Genomic DNA, 24,731 nt, shown 5'->3' on the forward strand with positions numbered 1-24,731 from the left:
AAAATACTTAGCATGGCCTACAAGGCCTTTTATGATCTCACCCGTGCCTATAAGACCTTTTTTTTTTTTTAAGATGGAGTCTCACTCTGTTGCCCAGAATGGAGGGCAGTGGCACGATCTTGGCTCACTGTAACCTCCGCCTCCCAGGTTCAAGCAATTCTCCTGCCTCAGCCTCATAAGCAGCTGAAATTACAGGTGTGTGCCACCACGCCTGCTAATTTTTTTGTATTTTTAGTAGAGATGGGGTTTTACCATGTTGGCCAGGCTGGTCTCGAACTCCTGACCTCAGGTGATCTGCGCACCTCAGCCTCCCAAAGTGTTGGGATTACAGGCGTGAGCCACCACGCCCAGCCAAGGCCTCTTCTTACACCACTCCAAGTCTTTTTTCAATAAAGCTTTATTTAAATATAATTCACACATCTAACAGTTGATCCATTTATACAATTCAATGGTTTTCAGTGTATTCACAGATATGTGCATCCATCACCACTCAATTTTAGAATATTTTATTTTATTTTTTTGAGATGGAGTCTCACTCTCTTGCCCAGGCTGGAGTGTAGTGGCTCCATCTTGGCTCACTACAACCTCAACCTCCTGGGTTCAAGTGATTCTCATGCTTCAGCCTCCTAGTAGCTGGGATTATAGGCATGCACCTGGCTAATTTTTGTATTTTTAGTAGAGATGGGGTTTCACCACGTTGGCCAGGCTGGTCTTGAACTCCTGACCTCAGGTGACCCACCCACCTCAGTTTCCCAAAGTGTTGGGATTACAGGCGTGAGCCACTGTGCCTGGCCTAGAATATTTTCATTACCTCAAAAAGAAACCCTGCATCATTCAGCTATGATACACCTATTATTCCCCATCACTCTCTCGGCCACTTCCTCTAATCTACTTTGTCTCTGTAGATTTCCATGTTCTGGCCATTTCATGTGAATACAATATGTGGTCTTTTGTGACTGGCTTCTTTCACTTAGCATGTTTTCAAGCTTTACTCATGCTGTGGCATGTTATCAGTACTTCATTCCTTGTTATGGATTAATAATATTCTTTCGTACAGATATACTACATTTTGCTCATCCATTCATCAGTTGATGGACATTTGCGTTGTTTCTACCTTTTAGTTATTATTATTGAGACAGGGTCTCGCTCTGCCACCTAGGCTGGAATGAGGTGGCACAATCACAGCTCACCACAGCCTCGACTTCCTGGGCTCAGGTGTTCTGGCACAGTGCCACCATGCCTAGCTAATTTTTGTATTTTTTGTAGAGATGGGGTTTCACCATGCTGCCCAGGCTAGCTACTCCCAAACTCTGGGGCTCAAGCAACTCTCCTGCCTTGGCCTCCCAAAGTATTAGGATTACCGATGTGAGCCACCAAACCTGGCGCTTTTGGCTATTATTAATGCTGGTATAAACATCTGCATACAAGTTATTGAGCAAATGTTTTCGTTTCTCTTGGGCATTGGAATTGCTGGGTCACTTGGTGACCCTATGTTTATTTGCCGAATTGCGAGACTGTTTCCCAACATGGCTGCACCAGTTTACATTTCCACCAGTGATGTATGAGGGTTCCCATTTCTGCCCCCCGCCTCCCCCGCCCAAGATGGAGTCTCACTCTGTCACTCAGGCTGGAGTGCAGTGGCACGATCTCAGCTCACTGCAAACTCCACCTCCCAGGTTCAAATGATCCTCCTGCCCCAGCCTCCCAAGCAGCTGGGAGTACAGGCATGCGCCACCACACCTGGCTAATTTTGTATTTTCAGTAGAGTTTTGCCATGTTGGCCAGGCTGGTCTCAAACTCCTGACCTCAAGTGACCCACCCGCCTTGGCCTCCCAAAGTGCTGGTTTTACAAGCGTGAGCTACCAAGCCTGGCCTTGATTCTAGCCTAATGAGTGTAAAGGGTTTTGATTGGATTTCCCTAATGACTAATAATGTCTAGCATCTTTTCAGGAGCTTATTAGCCACTTACTAATCTTCCTTGAGAAATATCTATTCACCTTGCCTTTTTCGAGACGGAGTCTTGCTCTGTCGCCCAGGCTGGAGTGCACAACCTCCACCTCCTGGGTTCAAATGATTCTCCTGTCTCAGCCTCCTGAGTACCTGGGATTACAGGTACCAGCCACCACACCTGGCTAATTTTTTGTATTTTTACTAGAGTCGGGGTTTCACTATGTTAGCCAGGCTGGTCTTGAACTCCTGGCCTCAAGTGATCTGCCTGCCTTGGCCTCTCAAAGTGCTGGGATTACAGGCATCAGTGCCTATGTCTTAAGTGTGTTTACTAAATATTATTTTTTTCATTTTTTTGAGACAGGGTCTTGCTCTGTCACCCAGGCTGGAGTGCAGTGGTGCCATTACAGCTCACTGCAGCCTCAGCCTTCTGGGCTCAAGTGATCCTCCCACCTCAGCCTCCTGAATAGCTGGGAATACAGGCAGGTGCCACCACACCCACCTTATTTTTAAATTTTTTATAGAGTCAGGGTCTTGCCATGCTGTGCAGGATGGTCTTGAATTCCTGGCCTCAAGAGATCCTCCTGCCTCAGCTAGGATTATAGGTATGAGCCACCATGCCCAGCCAGTCCTAAGAATTCTTTATATATTCTACATACAAATCCCTTATCAGCTGCACGATTTGCAAATATTTAGTTTTTGTTCTCATATTTAGGGCTTCAATCCATTTTTTAATTTTTGTATATGGTGTGAGGTGTGGTCTAACTTTTTTTACATGTGGCTACCTAGTTTCCCAGCACCACTTGTTGAAAACACCATTATTTCTCTATCGGATGATTTTGGTACCCTTGTTGAAAATCAGCTGGCCATATGCGTGAGTGTTTATTTCTGGACTCTCAATTCTATTACTCTACATCTATGCTTGTGCTAGTACAACAGCCTTGATTACCATTGCTTTGTAGTAAGTTTTGAAATCAGAAGTGTGAATTCGACTTTGTTCAAGATTTGTTTCCAAGATTGTTTTGGCTATTCTGGGTCTCTTACAATATTCTATGTGAATTTCACAATCAGTTTATCAATTTCAAGAAATTGGCTAGGATTATGCTGAATCTGCAGCCTAGTGAAGTATTACCATGTTAACAATGTTATTATGGAATATTTCCCCAATTATGTGTATTCTTTCCACAATTTCTTTACCTCTGAATCCTTTAGTTATTTCAATAGTGCTGTTTCTTCAAGTCTGTTTAGAACTAAACCTGTTTTAGATACAAAACATTATGTGCCCACTATTTTGTTAAAATGTGGACTTTGCCATGTTTAAGTTCTAGGCTTCTCCACCCTTATTGTTTTAGAACACCTGAGTCAGGTATTGTGTCAAGTACTTAACATACCAACTAATCAACAACTCTGCTATGCAGCAATTCTTGTACTTAATTCTACTTATCATTTGAGGTTAAGTACACTGGCAACAGATGGCCTCTCCTTGGGACTTCCATCCCTTTCAGTACTTAGGCTCTTTCTAATTGTTCCCTATGGACTACATGATCTGCAAGTTAAATTTTCTCCCTGCTATCAAAAAACTGCTAATCAGGCTCTTCTGATTACATGGTATACTAAGGGAAATATCGTTTTTGCCTGTGAACCTTATCACTGGTAGAGACTTGAAAATACCATGTGCTCCTTTTGCATCTTTAGGCACTGCTAAATGTTTTTGCATCACTTTCTATCTCAATGACCCTATGAAAAAGGTGTTTTGCAGATGAGCAAACTACAACTAAACAAACTTACAAGATAACGCAGCCAGGCAAATTGCAGAAATAATGACCTCACATACCCCTAACCACTATAATATACTTTATATTGGTTTTGCCTTGAGAACCACAAGGCTTCAGATCCACAAGAGGGAAAACCAAGTATTAACAGAATTGAGCCAAACAATGACTCCAAGAAGATTCTTGATTTGGGTGTAAGCTGACCTGATTATTTAAAAAACACAGTATGAAAAAAATTGACCAGATCTTGGTCTCATTCCTGGGAGTAACTGTACACAACTTCTCAATACAAATTTCATATTGGCCGGTGCGGTGGCTCACATCTGTAATCCCAGCACTTTGGGAGGGCGAGGCGGGTGGATCACAATGTCAAGAGATCGACACCATCCTGGCTAACATTTTTAGTCTCTACTAAAAATACAAAAAAACTAGCCGGGTGTGCTGGCAGGTGCCTGTAGTCCCAGCTACTCGGGAGGCTGAGGCAGGAGAATGCCATGAACCCGAGGAAGAGCTTGCAGTGAGCCGAGAATGCACCACTGCACTCTAGCCTGGGCGACAGAGCGAGACTCCACCTCAAAAAAAAAAAGAAAAAATATTTCACGGGATGAGTAGATGATGTACCTCAACTCTTTCTTTGTGGCTATTTCAAATAATCTCAAGCAAACCTGAATTTTTTTCTGCTCAATTGAAGCAAAATAATTAACTTCCTGAAATCCTGCAATATTAGTAATGAGGCCCCAAATTAAAGTCCACAGGCAAACACAGCAACACAAATTACCTTTAAGCATGAGCCTCAGATCTCGTCCTGAACCAATGCTTTAGTGAGCGCTTGCTTTGGCAGAACATACTGTAAAACTGGAATGTTTGTGTGAGGCCGGGCGTGGTGGCTCACACCTGTAATCCCAGCACTTTTGGGAGGCCGAGGTGGGCAGTTCACCTGAGGTCAGGAGTTTGAAACCAGCCTGGCCAACGTGGTGAAACCTAGGTGGCATTGAACGTTTTGAGATGGTGCCACCACGCTCCAGTCTGGGCAACAGAGACTCAGTCTCAAAAAATAGTAATAATAATAATTAGTGTGCGAGACTAACAGCTTGGCAAGTTTTAGTATAAGGGCTCCAAGAGTGAAGGGGACAGATAATTTGTGTACAATTTTTACTAACAGCTTTTAAGTCAGTTCCAGATTTTTCCTTACATTTAGATATTCTCAAAAATTACCCATTTCACACTCCATTATCAAATTTTATTTGACTTTGAGAAATTGACAGCCCTTCGTTATTACTCAGACCAATCAAAAACACAGTAGAGTCCTCCCTTGTCTGTGAGGAGATAACATTCCAAGACCCCCCCACAGTGGATGCCCAAAATCACAAATGGTACCAAAGCCTAGCCTAGCCTACATGGCCTTTTTGGATGGCAAATAGCATATACAGCATGTATATGCTGTATCCAACATTCCCATCAGTATTCTGCCCAAGGTGGGAAGGACAGGATGCCTCTCAGAAAAGCACACAATTTAAAAATTAATAACTCTGAGATTGTGGTTAACCATGGTTGCAGATAAGGGGATATTACTATATTGTTATTTGACTATACTTACTTGTGAAGCGATGTGTGACTATCTCATAAACATCATCTTATAATTCGTACATACAGAAGTTGGAAATACAAAATGCTATGTCTGAAATCCAATCAAGATGTAGGTAGTAATTGCTAAATAACATGCTAATTTTAGAAATAAAAATTACAGTGAAGGCAAATATCTAAAATGGACCATAAAAATTGATCAGTAACTGAGACTGAAAGCAGCACTGCCAAGTCACAATAGGATCCTGAATTATACTTAATCTGGTTCTGTGTCTGTAATACAGACCATCTTTTTTTTTTTTTAATGTCACTTTGAATACGTTGAAGTCAGGTAAATTCTAGAAAATAAACGAGTACTAAAAAAACAAAAACAAAACCAAAGGATAATTAGGATAATGCCTTTATTAACGAGAATGAAACGTTCATTCCTCCTTCCACTCCTTCTCGTTGGTTTTCTGGACACAGCTCACCTGATCCTGCTAATTAAAGGGTATGATTACTCCAAAGGATACAAGAATCAGAGTTACCAAATTCTCAAACATAACATTATATAACTGTCAAGTGAACTAATACCAAAGAAATCTTATTAATCGGCCTGGCGCAGTGGCTCACGCCTGCAATCCCAGCACTTTGGGAGGCCAAGGAGGGCGGATCACAGGGTCAGGAGATCAAGACCACCCTGGCTAACATGGTGAAACTCTGTCTCTACTAAAAAATACAAAAAAAAATTAGCCAGGCGTGTGTGGCGGGCGCCTGCAGTCCCAGCTACTCGGGAGGCTGAGGCAGGAGAATGGCGTGAACCCAGGAGGCGGAGCTTGCGGTGAGCCAAGACTGTGCACCACTGCTCCAGCCTGGGCGACAGAGCAAGACTCCGTCTCAAAAAAAAAAAAAAAAATCTTTTAATGAATGAAAGAACATGGCATTAATTGTAATTAACAGGCAGGGCGGAGTGGCTCAAGCCTGTAATCCCAGCACTTTGGGAGGCCAAGGTGGACAGATCACCTGAGGTCAGGAGTTTGAGACCAGCCTGACCAACATGGTCAAACCCTGTCTCTACTAAAAATACAAAATGAGCCGGGCGTGGCAGAACATGCCTGTAATCCCAGCTACTTGGAAGGCTGAGGCAGGAGAATCGCTTGAACCCAGGAGGTGGAGGTTGCAGTGAGTCAAAATCATGCCAGTGCACTACAGCCTGGGCAAAAGGAGCGAAACTCCATCTCAAAAAATAAAAAATTAATGGTTCCCACATTAGTATTGTTATTTTTGTACCACCCAAGGGCCTTTCTGAAGACAGTTTAACAGACTAAGAATCATTTAACTTACCTAGAAACGTTGTCAGTCTGCTTGTGGCTTCCCTCCTTGATTGACTCACGCTGTGTGATGTCTTGAGAAGTATCTATCCACCTGTAACAAAAAATGTTAACTTGCTCACTGCAGCCTCAACCTCCCAGGATCAAGCGATCCCTCCCACCTCAGCCTCCAAGGGAGCTGGGACCACAGGCACACACCACCACACCTGGCTATATTTTTTTCTGTAGAGACATGGTCTCACTATTTTGCCCAGGCTGGGCTCAAGCAATCCTCCCACTTCTGCCTCCCAAAGTGCTAGGAATATAGGTGTAAAGCCACCATGCCTGACCTTCTCCTACATTTTCTTAAGTAAAAAAAGAATCATGGAGTTTTAGATGGAGTCTAAAATTGAATTGAATATTGACAATATGGCCTATTCCCCTTAAGTCAAGTTTTCTTTTCTGTTCTTCTATGACCGTTATATAACCATCCACTTTTTAAAAATTCTATTGTTTGACATTTTTATAATGCCTCTCACTTGCTTTCTCACATACATCCCTAATTTCCAAACAAAAATAAAGGGATATTATCTTAGAAACGGTAAACATCTCAAATATCGAAGTTTCACTCCACATATCTAAATGAAATTATTTAAATCAAACTCAAAAGCCTGTAGGGGTTAAGATTTCTAAAGGAAACTTACTTCATGTGAATGAGCACTCCAATATCAGCCAACATCAATCATTCTTACCTAAAGAATAATAAGAAAAAGTTAATATAAAAGACAAGGGTATAAAATAAAGGTTTGAAAATGCTAGTCAACTTCAAAATTTAAAGAGTAAAAATCCAGAGATAAAGATTGGGGGTAAGTTACAGCATAAAAAAATAGGAAGAAACTTCATGGTGGGGGGGAAATCTAAAATTATTCTTACATAAAATAAGTAGACACCTGAATTAGAATGAAAACTGTATTTTCTTTAAAATGTAAAAGCCTGACTCTCAGTTTCACCAGTCTGAGCACAAGTTTGACTGCAACCCAAAATATACTATCCCTTATGTGAAGGTATGTGACAACGTTGACCTCACCAAATGAGTTTTAACATCAGCTCTTTTTTCATATGAAAGCACATACCCTGCTCCCCATTCAAGTATGTCTTCCATTGTCAGGCAGGCTGACCACCTTCAGCAGGAGTCCTCCAAGAGTGCCCAACTCCCCTTCCCACAGTACACAACGCTGTAGTTGTTGTCCTGCAATCCTTTGTATTTACCTCATTCTTTCCCATCTAAGTCCTCACTGAGTTTTAAAGTTAGGGCTGGAAAAGCTATGCCTTACTGGGACAGCAAGGAACCAATTTTTTTCTGAGGGAGAAGACATTCACCTTCACTATATGCCTGGCAGGGCCACAGTGCACAAAACAAAGATCAGCCTTCATTCAAGTTCCAGGTTTTTCTTCCTCCCTGAATGATTACTGCAAAGGGTATATGAAGTAAGAGTTCCCTGTTGCACATGTACCATCCATAAGGGATACTATATCGTTTTGCATTCTTCCCCCCATTCTCCACATTGTCCTATCTTAAGTCCAAGCCCTTTTCACTCTCAAAAAAAAAAAAAAAAATATTTTTTTCAGCACTGGTGTTCAAAAGCAACGTTTTTATGGTTAATGGTTTACCAGCAACTGTTGAGATTTCCAGTTGAGTCTTAAAAATTGCCAATCATTATCTAGCAGCAATGACAGATGATTAGGAGCAGTCAAATCCTCTGAATTCTTTCCCTAATAGGCAGCCATTTGAGAACTGCACTAGCTGACATCACTAAAACATTATCAGCTAAAGCCAAAACCAAATAAAGGCCCAGACCAACATCCTGGCTCTCTAAAACCTGTCCAAAATCATTAAGTGAAAGGCAGTAAATGCAGGACTGTGGATCATGTCACTGCAGCTGACAATGATTAACAATAGGAGACATGCAACCCCCATTAAGGTTAAAAGTCCAAAACTAGTCACACGCATCTCTTTATTGGGGAAAAGTGAGACTATTATGCATTCTTGGTAGGTTTGCAACCTTGCATGAAGAGCACCCATTGCATTTCTTTCATCTTTCAGAAAGCACCGGTATCTGTTCCAAGGGCCTAACAGTACGAAAATACATTCTGGCATCACACCTCTGAACCCAAGACTGTTCTCATTAAAAATAATTTTGGTTTGTAACAAAATTATGAAATACAATGCAAGCACCTCGGTATAGCATTATTACTGAAACCACTTAATTCCCAGCTTTTTGAGTTTTTTAAAAAAACCCACTGCACTAAGATTCACAATTCATTGCTACATACAAATTAAAGCTAGTAAGAACACACTAACGTCACAAGTTTCTCATTCTAAAGTGCAAAAGCCTAATCATCTGAAAGTGAACAGGGTAAGGCAAAATTAACCCCCCACCCCAATAAAGTTCCTGAAGTCCATATATTATATACCAAGTACATTCTCTAAAAATTGTTACTGACTGGTAAGAAATAGACCTGAGTTTTTATTTCTAACACCCAATCACTAAACCACGGCAGCAAGCACTGGCCACCGATTTAATGGATTACGACACAGGAAACCCCATCAGGGTTCTATGTAATTTAGTGATACTCATGTCACTAATATTGAGCATTATACTTGATCTGCATTATATTGTTGATATGCAGAGGCTAAACTAGTCATCATTTGCTCTTTCATCTATCAGTAGAGTCCAAAGTTGTTTGCTTGAATGGACTACATGTTAAAGTACAAGTCTGTCCCCACCTTGTGAATTGCTTGCCAACGAGCAAGCTTTTTCTTGATACACAGAAGAAAAGTCTCATAGTCATGAAGTTTTCATCAGCATTTATGCAAAGTAAACCACTTTCCAGTTACAGAGCAGAAACATTATACATGAAAACTGTCTCTCATGCATGCTAGCTAAAACCAGTTCAGAGACCAAGAAGTTGAAGTGAGGTCTGGAACAACAGTTGATGCAAAGTCCTAAGCAACAAAAGTTGTGCTTTTGAAGACTTAGGTTTTCTTGTAAACATTTTGGACTATAACATCACATCCCTAAAGCTAAGGGAACCAAATTCAAAAAGCTACTCTGAACATATGCAGTCATCCTACAGAAACGACGATGTCTTATGATTGGGAATGATTCCCAACATGTATTCGACTGTAGTCAAGTCAATGTTCCACACCACCTTCCCCCAGGTTTAGAGTATAGACACATTTAGACAAGTCCCATAACTTGAACTATTCACATTAGATTCCCATCTAAGCCCAAGTTAGTAACAATGGTGTTTTCATGAAGCCCATGTTTTTAAAAATTTTAAATCGCATTACAAAAAAACCTGTACTTTTAGTTCAACTCAACTTGTAGAATTACCAAGATTGCATAATGAAATTACTGATATTGCCGATCTATGGGCAGGTCAGTTTGCTACAATAGAGACTAATTATCACATGCTATACGGTCCATGTCAAGGTGCTAAAAGCACCCTAGTTCCCAAGTATAGTTTAGTTCCCTCTCCCCCACACCACTGATGTGTTCCATGTTATCTTCAGTTACAATGCAACTAAAGGAAACCACACAACTGAGTCAGATATACCAAAGAATCAAGTTTGCACTTTTTATCTGAGAACTGCAACAGCACTGAATTCTGCCTGACAAATTACAGCTCTAACCCCACACCCACACAGTTTTGATGTAAGCTAGCTTTACCATACAAGTGTTAGGTGCTGCACTGTAATTTCATTGTCAGAAATGTGATGCCAGAATGCCCACGGAATAAAAGTACATACAAGTCACCAAGTTAGATTATATTGCTTGTTACCTACCTGTATGCAGTCGGCAATGAGAATCTTGGAGCAAGCAGGAATACTACATCCGGGTCCTAATGTCCATTGCCATTTGCGGTACTACGTTCCTCACAGTTACGCACTGCAGAAATGCTGGCTAAATGCAGTTATGTAGCAGGCCACTACTTTAATAGTGCATAATTGCAGTCCAAGAACACCAGAAAACATTCCGCCACAACTTAGTGGCTTGCCCAAGAAAAGCCAAGTATCTAAATTTTAATCTGCCATAATATGCCACTTAAAAATTGCACAGGCGTAACATTACAATTTCCCCATTTTTTAGCTGTTTATATTAGTGGTACAATACATCTATAAAGAGTGGTGGGGTTTGTAGTACTTCTTATGAGTTTAATGTTCTAAGCAAAGAGGATTATGGTTTCACTAACATGAGCCAATGGGCTATGCTTATAAAATACCTATTAAATACACTGGGGTCTTAACAATATGCAGTTTTTAAAGATTAGGAGAAGTATAAAAAACAACCAGTGTTCCTCTTAAAACAAAATTATGAGAAAGTGGAGAAGAGGAAATGGGGACAAGTGGTTTCTTTAAATGAAAAAAATGGCTAAAATACTTCAAAAATTGCTACCTCCCCTTTCCCACCCCAAGTTTCAGATCGACTTTTAGGAAACTATTAAGATTATTTAAATTCACATTAGGCTAAAAACTATCATATATACATTGAAGACTTATTGAAAGTCTATTTGAGTAAGCTTACAACCCTGAGTACATTGCTGTTTTAGTGATGAAAGTCAAATGTCATTTGAAACTAAGCAACATTATTTGCTAAACAACGTTTAGCAACTCTACAGTCCACAGTAAGGGTATCAAAAGCCACAACTTTCAGGAGATTATCCATTAGCATCCTTCACCACTCTTCAAAGGTACAGTACTACCAAAAGCTTATTTTAGGGGGTCTGTGCCAGCATCCCTTATAAAGAAAGGCATGTAATCTGAAAAATAAACTGAAACATTAATTTTATAGGCAGATTTTCCCATTTCCCGACCAGCCCCCACCCACACACATTCAAAGTTCACCCTCTGTGGGTGTCCCATGGAACACCCCTTATTTTCTTGTCTTTAGTAGAGTCCCTACTATATAATTCAACCAAACTGTAATGGATTCCTTTCTAATCAAGACCCTTGTTTCCGTACAGAAAATCTCTTATGTATCACCAATTAATAACCTGTTTGGGGACAAAACTTCCTCACTGATATAATCATGGTAAAACTACTCATATTTCCGAGTGTGCTGGTGAATGATATAATGAGCATTACTTTCTAATGAGATTCTCTCCCTTAGCACACCATGTACCTGTCAGTCATACAACCAGTATTTGGTGAGATGCTTTTATACACTAGTGTTTACTTTCAGCATTATCCTGTTTCCTATGCAGAAAGTGCTCAGATTGTTCCAACAATAGGTCTCCTTTTGTACACAGGCACAATACTAAACTTCAGCATGTTAATAAAGGTTTGACTTAGAATTTTTCTTTTGCCAATTAGCACCAAGAAAAGAGGTGAAAAGGAGGAAGACACATTCCATAGTAAGAATTCTACAATGTACAGATTTGAATGGAACGTAACTCAGAACAAAGCCAAACCATTCAATTACTTTACCTACTGTTAGGAAGCTGTTCCTCTAACATATTTACACTGGGAAATCAGGCTCCCATTATACTAACAGGCAACAATAAACAATCTACTTTAATAGTCAAAGTCTCTTGTTCTAATGGAAGGGGGTTCAATGAAGTTGACAATTAACTGACAACACCATGGAAACATTCCAAGCCTTTATGGTGGGAGGAAGGGATATTTGTACTGTGTAGCATGAGCAACTTTCTCCAGATTTAGTGCTACATGAAAACGAAACTATGTGAAAACAAGTTAAATTTACAATAAGAATGATTATCTGCAACCCTATTTGTTAACAATCACCACTAGCTCTTAGAAGAGAACCAATAGATTTTTATAGTCCTATAGATTTTGCCCAACAGAAGTAGCACAAGGAGATGTAAAAGTTACAGAGTACAAATGTATATATAACTAAACCTACTTCAGTACTAAACCTTTTTTTTTTTTTGAGACAGAGTCTCGCTCTGTTGTCCAGGCTGGAGTGCAGTGGCAGTCTCAGCTCACTGCAACCTCCATCTCCAGGTTCAAGCAATTCTCCTGGCTCAGCCTCCCGAGTAGCTGGGATTACAGGCGCCTGCCACCACGCCCAGCTAATTTTTTGTATTTTTAGTAGAGACGGGGTTTCACCATGTTGGCCAGGCTGGTCTTGAACTCCTGATCTCATGATTTGCCCACCTCAGCCTCCCAAAGTGCTGGGATTACAGGCGTGAGCCACCGCGCCCGGCCCAGTTACTAAACCTTCTTACTTTCAAGTTTTGTTTTTTAGACTACACCCCATCTTTATAAATCACTTGAATACATGAAAAGACTTCATGTTTAACATCTTTAATTCAAATGTAAAAGTTCAATACAAGCCATTTATAGGGCTTGAGATTTGTTGGTCTTTTAAAAACAAGAAATGGGGAAATGCAACAAAATGACCTTTCCACTTTTCAAAAGCTTTCAAGTAAAGGATAGATCATAGGGCCATAAAAGATCCATTTAATCAAACCCACTTTCACCCCCTACCAATTGTCTTACACCCATTCCACAATCTTAATACATATTCCTGAAGATTTACAGTTCAGCTTTGCTTACATAACCATTTAAAAAATACTTAGCACCAGCGTGCTTCCTATATGCCAAACAAATCATCAAACTACTTCAATATGCATTTCTTCTTTTTAAAACAAAGGGGGCAATTATTTGTAGAAAGCAATACTTAGCCTCCAGATGCATTTCCCAGAAATGGCATATGCCATTCAAAGGCCTAGACACTCTCATGCTTTCAATGTGGAATACGTAGCCTAATATGCATAGAAGCATGAATGGCAAAGTTGAAGATCAATATTATAACTATTTTTCTATTTATTTGAAGCACAGTAAAAAAAAAAAAATTGGTACACTTTGGAAATTCAGTGGCACAAGGTACACTGCCATAAACTTGAGGGACATTATACAGTAAAAAAGAAAAAATAAAGAAATAAAAAGGAAAAAAAAATTCTCCTGTTCCAAACACTGCATTACATAATTTTACCTGCCCAAACAGACCATTTACAAATATTAGGTCAATAAACTGCTAACATCCATAAAAAGATAGCTTTCTTACTAAAATGCAAGAATTTAAAAGATTGGTATCTAAACAAAAAAACAAAACAAACTGGAATGAAAGCCTAAATATCACATCTAAAATCGGGGTTTTTTGTTTGGGCCTTCGTACTCTTCTCTCCCTCTACCATATCCTGCTGGAGTTCCAGGCCCCATTCCTCTAGGACCCTGTCCACCCACAGGCCCCGCACCTCCCTGCCCAAAGCGCTCAGTACGCTATTGGAACAGTAATTAACAGTTCATTATAAGTAGTTGATGTCCATGTGTGTTAAGTAAATATTTTAGAAGGTTCCGTAGTCAACGTTCGTCGATACAATCACCAATGAGTCGATCCACAGGTACCGGGAACATAGAAAGGAAAAAAGGGTAATTTGAAAATTAGTTTACGGTAATACATGCCTTGTGGTATGTTCCCACTTGAGCCATTCTCATACACCTGTTTCAAAGAACAGATCTTCCCTGTAGTGCTAAAAAATTTAAGAATTAGTGCAGATGTGAAAATCCATTCCAAAATGAGTTCTAAGAAATTTCACATCAGATTAACCCACTGAAAAACTTGCAAACTCTCACTTTCAACGTCTGAACGGAAATTTAATTTCCAAGTAAGCCTAACAAGCCCAACCAGAGATTCAATTCACTCAATGAAGTGACAAAGACCTACTCACCAGTTAGTGGCATGTGCTGCTTAAGAAACCTTGTGCTTTTCAAGATCTTAAGACACATCTGCTAAGTTGCAGAAATCTTAAAAGGTTGAAAGTTTTAATAAAATGCTACCAGACTACAAAAAGAAAAAGCATAAGACTATAGATTTAGTCACTTAACCGGCACAGTAACTTGATCAAAAAAACTTATGTTGCCAAATTCTCACAGGCACACTACCTTCCGAGCCATCACTATATAACCAGAGACAATTACGTTCTCAGTACTATTCTATATTGTTGCAAACTAAATGAACAAACCCCACCCACCTTCATCAGTCCATCTTTTCCCTTAGGTCTTTGAAAAGTGCAGACACTTTGCTGTAATTCCATGTTTTAGACACTTCCCGAACAGTGAAACACGAAGCTAAAGTAACTGCAATAAAGCAGTGAGTGACTTCACTATTCCCATCTAGTTTTAGGTAATTCTGGAGATAGAAGTTTTCAATAGAAACATATGTGCCTAAATAGCAGACCCCTCAGGTATGCAAACACAGCAGCCTACACTTTTTCTCATTCCATTTATAATAGACCAGTTACTAAGAGTATTACTCCAAATAAAAAACTAAAAGGGCATCAGGGTTTAACTGTTCCTATACACAATTTCAACATTCTTTTAAACAAAATACTATTGAGCTACTCAACATGACTAAACTTTTATCCTTTGTTTTTCAAAATCTTATAAATTACAGGGTTTTTGGCTCATTGTTCTGTGTTCTACCTCTAAGAACTTAAAAAAAAGAAAAAGTTGGGGCTTTCATAATTATGTTAATTACACCAGCTGAGAACCCAGGAGCTATCAGCTACCTGTTATCTAGAATATAAACCTTTAATTGTGAGAACATAAGGTCAAATTAGATTTTACACATTACCTAACAATCTGTCTTTAGGAAGAATATAAACCAAAATGTTACCCACATACTCTGAAAAATCTAAAGAAAGCCCATAGTATTACATTTTACCCAACCAGCCATTTATAATTCTAACTTTAATTCCCAAAAAGTCTTAGGTAGATTATAAACAGGTGAGGCCTTATACAAAATCCTTATGTTTCTATTTATAAAATGAATCTTATGAGCTACTCACTGCAGCTCCCCTCCTTTGCCAAAAGCCTGTAGTGAACTCATCACATTCAACTCAGCTATAAAAATGCACTCTCTAAACCCACCAAAATTCAGTCCTAACGATTTGTAAAGCCCTAATGCAGCCACTCATACCAGTTCAACTGATTGTTCTAAGCATCTGACAGGCTATATTCACAGCTGAAACATGATAGCATCAAGAAGGTTCAGATCAAATGCACACCATTAGTATGCTTAAAAATTGTTGATTTTTGCTACTCTGTAGCAAAATGGAGATGTCAGTTGATTTTAGAAGGTATACCTACAGACAGGCCCAACAGGTGGGAAACGACGAGTCAAAACACTCAATTCCCTTTTCATAGGATAGAAGCCACACCAAATATAGGTCAAAGTCCTACACATCACTAAAACGTGCCTAAAGCTTCAAACTACAAGTCTGATTCCTACTTATGGCAAATACCAGCTTAAAGAATGAGTTTGCCATTTGATTATTCTCACTTGGATGTAGAATAATCAGATACATTATCTAGCATCTAGAATTTGGATTTGCCATGCACTAGAGTTCAAAAGCACCTAAATCTACTTATTGCCAAAGGTAATTCCACATAATACTAACAGCATTGACTCCTTGTTGGCAACCGTTATCTGTTTAGGTTACCACACACCGAGTTCTTCTATGTTGCCAAAGTATTCCTCAATATTACATATTTATGTATGAAATTGGTAGGGGAAACTAAAAGAGGTCCAGTCACCTACTTAAAAAAACAAAACAAAACAAAACAAACACACCTAAGTTGTGAAAATGAGAATTTCCTTGGTACTACGTCCCACAGGATACATTACCATGTCACTTCCCATCATGGAACCACTCATGGTTGCTGGTGGAACGCCAGGATTAGCTTCATAACCTATGCCACCACCACCTCCTAGAGGTGGAAATTTCTGGCCTCCTGAACCATAGGGATCTAGAAAACAAAAATAGTGGTTACAACTCCACCAGGATACTACTCTCTACTTATATCATTAATTTAAATTTCACACTTACCTCCCATGTTCATTGCTCCTCCGCCACCCATTCGCATGTCTCTTTCCCGCTGCAAGAAAAAAATTCCTTTCAATATACCTGCACTATACCCACAGCAAGCATTCTTAAGAACTGAGAAATTTTCAAGAGTTAAATAAAAAACATGGTAAAGTTCAAAAGTTCATCATGTGAATTATTTTTGAAATCAATATTCTGAAAACTAAGTTAGACTCAATTATCCAAAGACCTACAAAACTTCCTATTCAAGGCCGGGAGCAGTGGCTCACGCCTGTAATCACAGCACTTTGGAAGGCCGAGGCAGGCAGATCACCTGAGGTCAGGAGTTCAAGACCAGCCTGGCCAACAAGGCGAAACGCCATTTCTACTAAAAATACAAAAATTAGCCGAGCCTGATGGCAGGCACTTGTAATCCCACCTACTCAAGAGGCTGAGGCAGGAGAATCACTTGAACCCAGAAGGCAGATGCTGCAGTGAGCCAAGATCAAGCCACTGCACTCCAGCCTGGGTGACAAGAGCAAAACTCTCTCCAAAAAAAAAACCAAACAAACAAAAAAACAAAACAAAACAAAAAAACCAAGAAACAAAACACAAAAAAACTTCCTATTCAATTAAATCCTCTGACCCATACAAGGAAATCAAACATAATATACTTTGTTAGAAAAAAAGCAGAAAATAACTGTAATTTGATATTAAAATTTCCTGTAATTCCTTCTAGGTACCTGCAAGTTCTATAGACAACTCCAATTGGAAGGCAGTAAAGGCTGACTTACTGGATCCATGTAGCCCATTCGGCTGTAACTTTCCTCTCTTTGGCGCCTCATTTGTTCTTCCATCTCACGTTGACGAATCATCATCTCTTCCTCTCTTCTACGTCGTTCCTCCTCTTGCCTAGAAATACCCATCAGGTACATAACTGAAGTGTTATCCACATCTTTTAGAATTCAATGTGAAGAAACCTAGCAGTTGACCTAAGAACTAGGTTAGCACTAAAAAACACAAAGGCTTAGAGTGAGCCTAGGGGCATAGTACTAAAGACATTCTGGCAAATAATGTAGGCTTTATTAAGGATAATCTTACACTGTATTCGATTTTAAGTGTTAAACCAACACTGACATATTTAACCTTTGTATTTTGCCTGACTGACCTGAAAAACTAAGTACATCTTTTCCCTAAATGTCAGAATATAAATGTTAGTGCATAAGTCAAGGATTAAGGCCAGGGTTGGTAGTTCATGCCTGTAATCTCAGTACTTTAGGAGGCCAGGAGTTTGACACCAGCCTAGGCAATATAGGAAGACTCCATCTCCACAAATACAAAAAAAATTAAAAAATTAGCTGGGGGTGGTGGCCTGTGCCTCTAGTCCCAGCTACTCAGGAGGACTGCTAGAGCTGAGGAGTTTGAGACTGCAGTGAGCTATGATCATGCCACTGCACTTCAGCCTGGGCCCATCTCAAAAAAGGAAGAAAAAAAATGGCCAAGCGTGGCGGCTCATGCCTGTAATCCTAGCACTTTGGGAGGCAGAGACAGGTGGATCACTTGAGCTCAGGAGTTCAAGGCCAGCCTGGCCAACATGGCGAAACCCCGTTATCTACTACAAATACAGGAAGAATTAGCCAGGTGTCGTGGCGCATGCCTGTAATCCCAGCTGATCGGGAGGCTGAGGCAAGAGAATCGCTTGAACCCAGGAAGCGGAGGTTGTGGTGAGCTGAGACTGCACCACTGCACTCCAGCCCGGGCAACAGAATGATACGTTTCAAAGAAAAAAATAAATGAAGGCTTAAACCTTAAACACAATTTTACCTCAATTGCATTTCTTTACGTTTCTGCATTTCTTGATTGTGAAGTTCTTCCATGCGTCTTAATTCTTCCTGTCGTCTCATCAGATCTGAACATTGGAAAATATTTGGATTCACATTAACAAGGTTCTAATAAGGTGAAAAACAATTGACCTTAGCAATGATGTTCACGCACAGGTCTTTTTACCTTGGCGCAAAAGATTTGCCTGATGTTCATGATAGGCATCTTCCATTTCACTTTCCAATTTGTCTTTTGCATCTTTCATGTTTTTTTCAACTTGTTCCCTTTGCTGTTTTTCCATTTCATCCAAAGACTTCCATCGCTGAGAATATTCGTACTCAAACGTGCCATGCTGGGCAAAACGAGGAGGGGTTTCTCTCTCCCTAACAATACACAAAATTTTAACATGAACCGATTTGTGAATGCATACCAGAAAATACTTGCCCTAGTACTGATCTTTTTCCTGTTCTATTTCTTGTAAAGAGTACAAAAGGCAAAAATTTTCCTGATTCATCTATAAATATCTTCACAGCAAAAATACTCAGAACACTCAGTAAAAGAATGCAGGCACTGGAGATAAATCCTACCTTCCTCGTTTTCTAATTGTTTTCCTCTAGCCAAATTCCTTACCGAGGCTTATTTTTTCCACCCATAAAAATGTACTGTAGGCCACACGCGGTGGCTCACCCCTGTAATCCCTGCACTTTGAGAGGCCAAGGCAGGTGGATCACCTGAGGTCATGAGTTTAAGACCCATCTGGCCAACATGATGAAACCCCGTCTCCACTAAATATACAAAAAATTAGCTGGGCATGGTGGCAGGCACCTGTAATCCCAGCTATTCTGGAACCCTGAGGCAGGAGAATCACTTGAACCCGGGAGGCAAAGATTGCAGTGAGCTGAAATCACACCACTGCACTCCAGCCTGGGAAACAACAGCGAAACTCCAGCTCAAAAACAAAACAAAAAAAAACGTACTTCAGCCAGGCACGGTGCATCATGCCTGTATCCCAGCACTTTGAGAGGCCGAGGTGGGCGACTCACCTGAGGTCAGGAGTTCGAGATCAGCCTAGTCAACATGGTGAAAGCCCATCTCTACTAAAAATAGAAAACGAGCCAGGCATGGTGGCACATGCCTGTAATCCCAGCTACCTGGGAGGCTGAGGCAGGAGAATCGCTTGAACCTGGGAGGCAGAGGTTGCAGAGAGCTGAGGTCATGCCACTGCACTCTGGCCTGGGCAACAGAGACTCAGTCACACACGTGACTTTATGCCATTATTGCAGGGACAAAACAGGACTGCATGTGAATGTATCCACCTTAGAAGCAAACAGCTATCTGAATAACAGCTTCAAATCTTTCTCAGCCTGAGATTTTTTACTAATAAGCATATCCACATCAAATAATTTTGCATATTTTAAGCAAAATTGGAAAATCACTAAAATAAATTTAACCTTTACACTTGATTTAAAAACTGCCAAAAAAGTTTAATCAATCTTACTTTTGATACATTGGATTCTTCTGGGCAAGTTTTTCAGGAAGACCATCTTCATCATCTAGTTGTTCAAGTGGTTCCACAATGACTGGACGAGGAGTTCTAATAACAAAAATGGTTCCATCTTAGCTTTGTTCCAGTTTTATTGCCACCATTCTCATATAAGTTGATAGAAATTATTAGAATAAACAAGACAACTTACGTCGTCAGTAAGAAAACACCTTCACTGCATCGTTCAAATGCCTTTCTTGCTGCTGGCTTAGAAGCAAATTCAACAATGCCTTTCCCTGTAGATCTTCCACGATCATCCACTATTACAACAGCCCTTTCAATAGGACCAAATTGGCTAAAGGCTTCTTCCAACAGTTCATTGGAAACATAAGGTGAAAGATTACGAACAGAAAGGGCAGCAGCATGTGTGGCAAAGCGAACTCGAAGCTGTCTACCTCTCATGGGTGTATCATCCAGTTCGGCTTTGGCAATTTCAGCCAAAGCTCTAGATTCCTGTGTATCAGAGACACTCATGTTAATGACCTCAAAATTGGATGATGTCTACTCTTAAATTGTCATAGGCCTACTTCCTACTCCCTTTCTTCCTTCAGCTCAGTTCGACCATTACCTTTAGGCAGCACCCACTAACACCACTTAGTTTACCCACCCCACCCCTCTTTTCTCTTAGGTAGCAACAATTATGCATTATACCGCAAGCATTTTTCCTGTAAGAATGGTGAAAAATCTAAAAGATCAATTTATCCTCCCCAGTTTAAAAACCAAGCCTTCAGCGTTTGTAGTGACAAAAAAATCCCCCACCCTTTTTAATTCTACGTAAAATCAAACAATTACACTCACAAGCTTAATAAATCCGAATCCTTTGCCTTTGTTGATAAAAACTTCTCCTGGTTCTCCATATTTAGCAAATAGTCTTTTGAATTCATCCTCCGTGATATCAGCAGGTAGATTCCCAACAAACAACCGACATCGCTGTGTGTAAGTTTTCTCTCCAGGCCTCCTCAAGAGAGACAAATTGGCTTTAAACCCCTAATGAAAAAGGAAAGAAGTTTTCAAACACCAGAGACCTCTGCAAGTGAAAATCCCCAAGATAGTATTTGCTTATCTGAAACCTATCAGTTGCCTTTCTGTTCCGTTTGGTCAAAATCAAGGTTTTACTATGTGAGATTTCTAACATGAGCACTATCTTAACATTGAAAAAGGAGCCCCATCATCCAGAATGTTCGAGAATAGACACACTTCCCCAAAGAGTAGACGTCCATCAGCAACTGTCACCCACATATGTTGAGTGTCCCTAAAAAAATCTAAATAGTATGAAAATTAAAATAGGAAAATAACACAAATCCAAATGCCACTGTAACCTACACGATCTGCGCCTGCGCTTTTATGGAACTTCCCGGTTCTCTCCAAACCTACGCCGCATGCTCTGCATTACGCCAGTCCCAGGGACAGGATACCTTCTGCAGGGCCGACCACCGCGGCCCCGCGCTTCCTTCCGAAAGGAAACCTCCCCTAGCCTTCCGCCCGCCGGGAGAGCAAGGCCCGGCGGCGGCCAATCCCCCGCCGACCGACGGCCCCGCAGGCCGCCCCGCCCCCGCAGCGGCGCGCGCAAGCGCCCCTTCCGGCAGCCGACAAAATGGAAGCCCAGCGCGGGGGCGGGGGCGAGGAGGGGGCCGCCGCCATCTTAGGGGAGCCGACGCGTCGCTCCCATAGACACTCACCTCCGAGTCCGAGATCTTCTCCTCGCTGCGGCCGCCGGGCCCGCCGGGCGGGGGCCCCTGGTGATGCTGCTGGTGGTAGGGCGGGTGGTGCTGGCGGCCCCCGCGGGGCTCCCCGCCGCCTCGATGCGGCGGCTTGGGGTGGCCGCCAGGCGTACTTAGGCCCGGGCCGCCACCTGGCTTCGGCCCGCCAGGCATTTTGCCGCCTTTGGGACCACCCGGACCTGGGCCCTGCTTAGGCCCTGGACCCGGGCCCGGGACTGCCGCGGGCGGAGGCGGCGGGCCTCCGGCCTGAGGAGGTGTGGTAGGGACCCCGCTGCTTGGCGGGGTGGGTGGCGGCGCCCCGGGAGGGGCCGAGGTGACTGCAGGCGGCGGGGTCGGAGTCGGGCCTGGCCCGGACCCTGGCGGGGCCCCCGAGGTTGGTGGAGTGGCGGGCGGGGCCGAGCTGGAGGCTGGTGGTGCGCTGCCTACTCCGGGAGCGGGGCCGGGTCCCTGAGCAACGACGGGCTTGGAAGAGTCCTGCGGCGGTGGCGGCGGCTGCTGCTGCTGATGCGGCTGTGGATGCGGCGGCGGCTGATGCGGTGGCGGCTGCTGCGGCGGTGGCTGCTGCGGTGGTGGCTGTTGCTGCTGTTGGTGTGGAGGCGGTGGCGGGATCGGAGGCTTAGGGCCGCTCTGGCCCGGGCCAGGACCCATGGGGCCGCGATTCTGATTGAGGCCCATGCCGGGCGGCGGAGAACGGAAGTCGTGGAGGCCGCCGCGGCCGCCGCCTCCTCCACGCCTGTGGAAGCCACCACCGCCACCGCCACGACTCCGGAACCGATCCCGAGACATGTCTGTGGTCAAGGGGCGGTCGAGGCAAAAGCGAAGAAGACGCTCAGGAAACGTGGAGGCCACCTTGCTTCTCACAAAATGGCGGATGACACAGGCGGCGCGCCGCCTTTGTCCTCGTCTTATATAGGCCAGCTGGCACGGCCCCGCCTACTCCACGATCGACAGCTCCAATAGCCAATTGCAATTACTATGCTTGATGACACTAAGTTGCGAACCTCTGATCATTCCTATTGGCCCCTGGGTGAGAGGCGGGAGGCATGGGGGGACTGAAGTTTCCAGTTGGCCAGTGAGCGAAGAAGGCGTTGGCTGTAGGCCACTATGATTTGCTAGGAGAAATTTGAATGGGTATGCCAGGGCAATTTTCACTTGCGAGCAAATAACCAGGGCTCTATCCGCTCCTGCAGAGAAGCGTTGGAGGTCTCTTTTCTTTCTTGATTGTCCCTAGGAGCAATCTACTGATATCCTTGCCCAGAAAAACAGATGTTTTCCGATTCAAAATCAGAAATTGAGTGCCTGCTGTCTACCCTACCTCGTGCCAACTCAATGAAAGTAGAGAAGTAAAATCTTACCGATTTCAAACATACGCAGTCTTAACTGATTTCATTATGGAACCTCATAGGAATACAGATTTATTGTAGCAGCATAAACTTTTCAATAGGCTTCTGTGGGTGCGCGCTTTGTTCAAAAAGAGCCCTTGTGTGTATGTGTGTATATATACACGTTTACAAACACCAATCACAGGAGGAATGTAAATATTCCACTCAACACTTTACGAACAGACTAAGGTACTTTTAAAAAATTACAATGTTAGGCTGGGCACTGTGGCTCACGCCTGTAATCCTAGCACTTTGGGACACCGAGTCGGGCAGATCACCTGAGGTCAGGAGTTCTAGACCAGCCTGGCCAACATGGCGAAACCCCGTCTTTACTAAAAAATACAAAAATTTGGCTGGGTGGGGTGGCTGACGCCTGTAATCCCAGCACTTACTTTGGGCGCCGAGGTGGGTGGATCACGAGGTCAGGAATTCGATACCAGCCTGGCCAATATGGTGAAACCCCGTCTCTACTAAAAATACAAAAATTAGCTGGGCGTGGTGGTGCACGTCTGTAGTCCCAGCTACTCGGGAGGCTGAGGCAGGAGAATTGCTTGAACCCGGGAGGCAGAGGTTGCAGTGAGCCGAGATTGTGCCACTGCACTCCAGCCTGGGCGACAGAGCAAGACTCAGTCTCAAAAAAAAAAAAAAAAAATTGCTGAGCTTGATAGTGCACACCTATAATCCCAGCCACCTGGGAGGCTGAGGCAGGAGAATTGCTTGAGCCCAGGAGGCGGAGGTTGCAGTGAGCCGAGATCGCGCTATTGCACTCCAGCCTGGGCGACAAGTGCCAGACTGTCTCAAAAAAAAAAAAAAAAAAAAATTACAATGTTACAATGTCTATAGGGTATTAACCAGTCAGATGCATCAATTATTTTTCTCTTATTTTCTTTGACACAGAGTCTTATTTTTTTTGACACAGAGTCTCGCTCTGTTGCCCAGGCTGGAGAGCAGTGGCACTATCTCAGCTCACTGCAACCTCTGCCTCCCAGGTTCAAGTGATTCTCCTGCCTCAGCCTTCCGAGTAGCTGGGACCACAGGCGCGAGCCATCATACCCAGCCAATTTTTGTATTTTTAGTAGAGACAGGGTTTTGCCATGTTGGCCAGGCTGGTTTCAAACTCCTGACCTCAAGTGATCCACCCACCTAGGCCTCCCAAAGTGCTGGGATTATGGGAGTGAGCAACCACGCCCAGCCTGTATTTCACAATCTCCAGTTTCTTTGAGGTCCACAGACCTTTTGCGGAATAATTCCTCCCTCAACATTAGCTCATAGCTTCTATCTTCTTTTCTGCATCTAACTCTCTTCATTCAAGATCCAGGCGGGACCGGGTGCGGTGGCTCACGGCTGTAATCCCAACACTTTGGGACCCAAGGCTGAGGCAGTAGGGTCACTTGAGGTCAGGAGTTCGAGACCAGCCTGTCCAACATGACAAAACCCCCTCTCTAGTAAAGATACAAAAATTAGCAGGGCGTGGTGGCATGCACCTGTAATCCCAGCTACTCGGGAGGCCGAGGCAGGAGAATCGCTTGAACCCAGGAGGCAGAGATTGCAGTGAGCCGAGATCACACCATTGCACTCCAGCCTGGGCACAGAGTGAGACTCCGTCTCATAAAAACCAAAAAAAGATCCAGGCAGATGACCCACCCAACACCCTAATGGCTCAGTTCCTTACCTCCTCCATTAGTATTTTCTTCTACCCTGTATCACCATCCAGTCTCCCATCCTCCCCTCATCACACTCACTCCTGATTGTTATTACCAGTAACTGCACTATCTCTG

The 24,731-nt window shown here is 42.5% G+C and overlaps 1 protein-coding gene across 8 annotated transcripts, besides 6 other annotated features; it reads right to left on the reverse strand.

Moving 5' to 3' along the window:
• Window positions 1-5,687: 5,687 nt before the first annotated feature.
• SFPQ (splicing factor proline and glutamine rich) lies at window positions 5,688-22,453 on the reverse strand. 8 transcript variants are annotated; one of them, XM_005271112.6, is made up of 13 exons: window positions 21,530-22,453; window positions 20,649-20,837; window positions 20,002-20,303; window positions 19,806-19,901; window positions 18,494-18,690; window positions 18,311-18,395; window positions 17,281-17,398; window positions 16,511-16,559; window positions 16,309-16,430; window positions 10,443-13,901; window positions 7,297-7,344; window positions 6,627-6,707; window positions 5,688-5,782 (listed from the first exon to the last, which is right to left on the reverse strand). In XM_005271112.6, the coding sequence occupies exons 1-10, from the start codon at window positions 22,355-22,357 to the stop codon at window positions 13,764-13,766; spliced, it is 2,124 nt and encodes a 707-aa protein (XP_005271169.1). In that variant the 5' UTR covers window positions 22,358-22,453; the 3' UTR covers window positions 5,688-5,782; window positions 6,627-6,707; window positions 7,297-7,344; window positions 10,443-13,763. The 8 variants fall into 8 exon arrangements, 6 of the variants coding, with proteins under 6 accessions (XP_005271169.1, XP_005271172.1, XP_016857543.1 ...); NR_136702.2 differs by lacking the exon at window positions 10,443-13,901; NR_136703.2 differs by lacking the exon at window positions 10,443-13,901 and having other exon boundaries at window positions 5,688-5,779; window positions 18,482-18,690.
• Window positions 21,293-21,702: a silencer, noted in NCBI's record as "silent region_636". NCBI's record gives its function as "represses an Ori minimal core promoter by ATAC-STARR-seq in GM12878 lymphoblastoid cells {active_cell/tissue: GM12878}" and the evidence as "EXISTENCE:reporter gene assay evidence [ECO:0000049][PMID:35858748]".
• Window positions 21,713-21,962: a silencer, noted in NCBI's record as "silent region_637". NCBI's record gives its function as "represses an Ori minimal core promoter by ATAC-STARR-seq in GM12878 lymphoblastoid cells {active_cell/tissue: GM12878}" and the evidence as "EXISTENCE:reporter gene assay evidence [ECO:0000049][PMID:35858748]".
• Window positions 22,143-22,472: an enhancer, noted in NCBI's record as "active region_723". NCBI's record gives its function as "activates an Ori minimal core promoter by ATAC-STARR-seq in GM12878 lymphoblastoid cells {active_cell/tissue: GM12878}" and the evidence as "EXISTENCE:reporter gene assay evidence [ECO:0000049][PMID:35858748]".
• Window positions 22,143-22,950: a biological region, named in NCBI's record as "NANOG-H3K27ac-H3K4me1 hESC enhancer GRCh37_chr1:35658451-35659243".
• Window positions 22,158-22,950: an enhancer, noted in NCBI's record as "NANOG-H3K27ac-H3K4me1 hESC enhancer chr1:35658451-35659243 (GRCh37/hg19 assembly coordinates)". NCBI's record gives its function as "activates a minimal SCP1, AML or CMV promoter by ChIP-STARR-seq in primed H9 embryonic stem cells {active_cell/tissue: H9 hESC(primed)}" and the evidence as "EXISTENCE:reporter gene assay evidence [ECO:0000049][PMID:30033119]".
• Window positions 22,883-22,932: an enhancer, noted in NCBI's record as "active region_724". NCBI's record gives its function as "activates an Ori minimal core promoter by ATAC-STARR-seq in GM12878 lymphoblastoid cells {active_cell/tissue: GM12878}" and the evidence as "EXISTENCE:reporter gene assay evidence [ECO:0000049][PMID:35858748]".

This window comes from Homo sapiens, chromosome 1 (genome assembly GCF_000001405.40).
Source record: "Homo sapiens chromosome 1, GRCh38.p14 Primary Assembly".
Classification (NCBI taxonomy): Eukaryota; Metazoa; Chordata; class Mammalia; order Primates; family Hominidae; genus Homo; species Homo sapiens.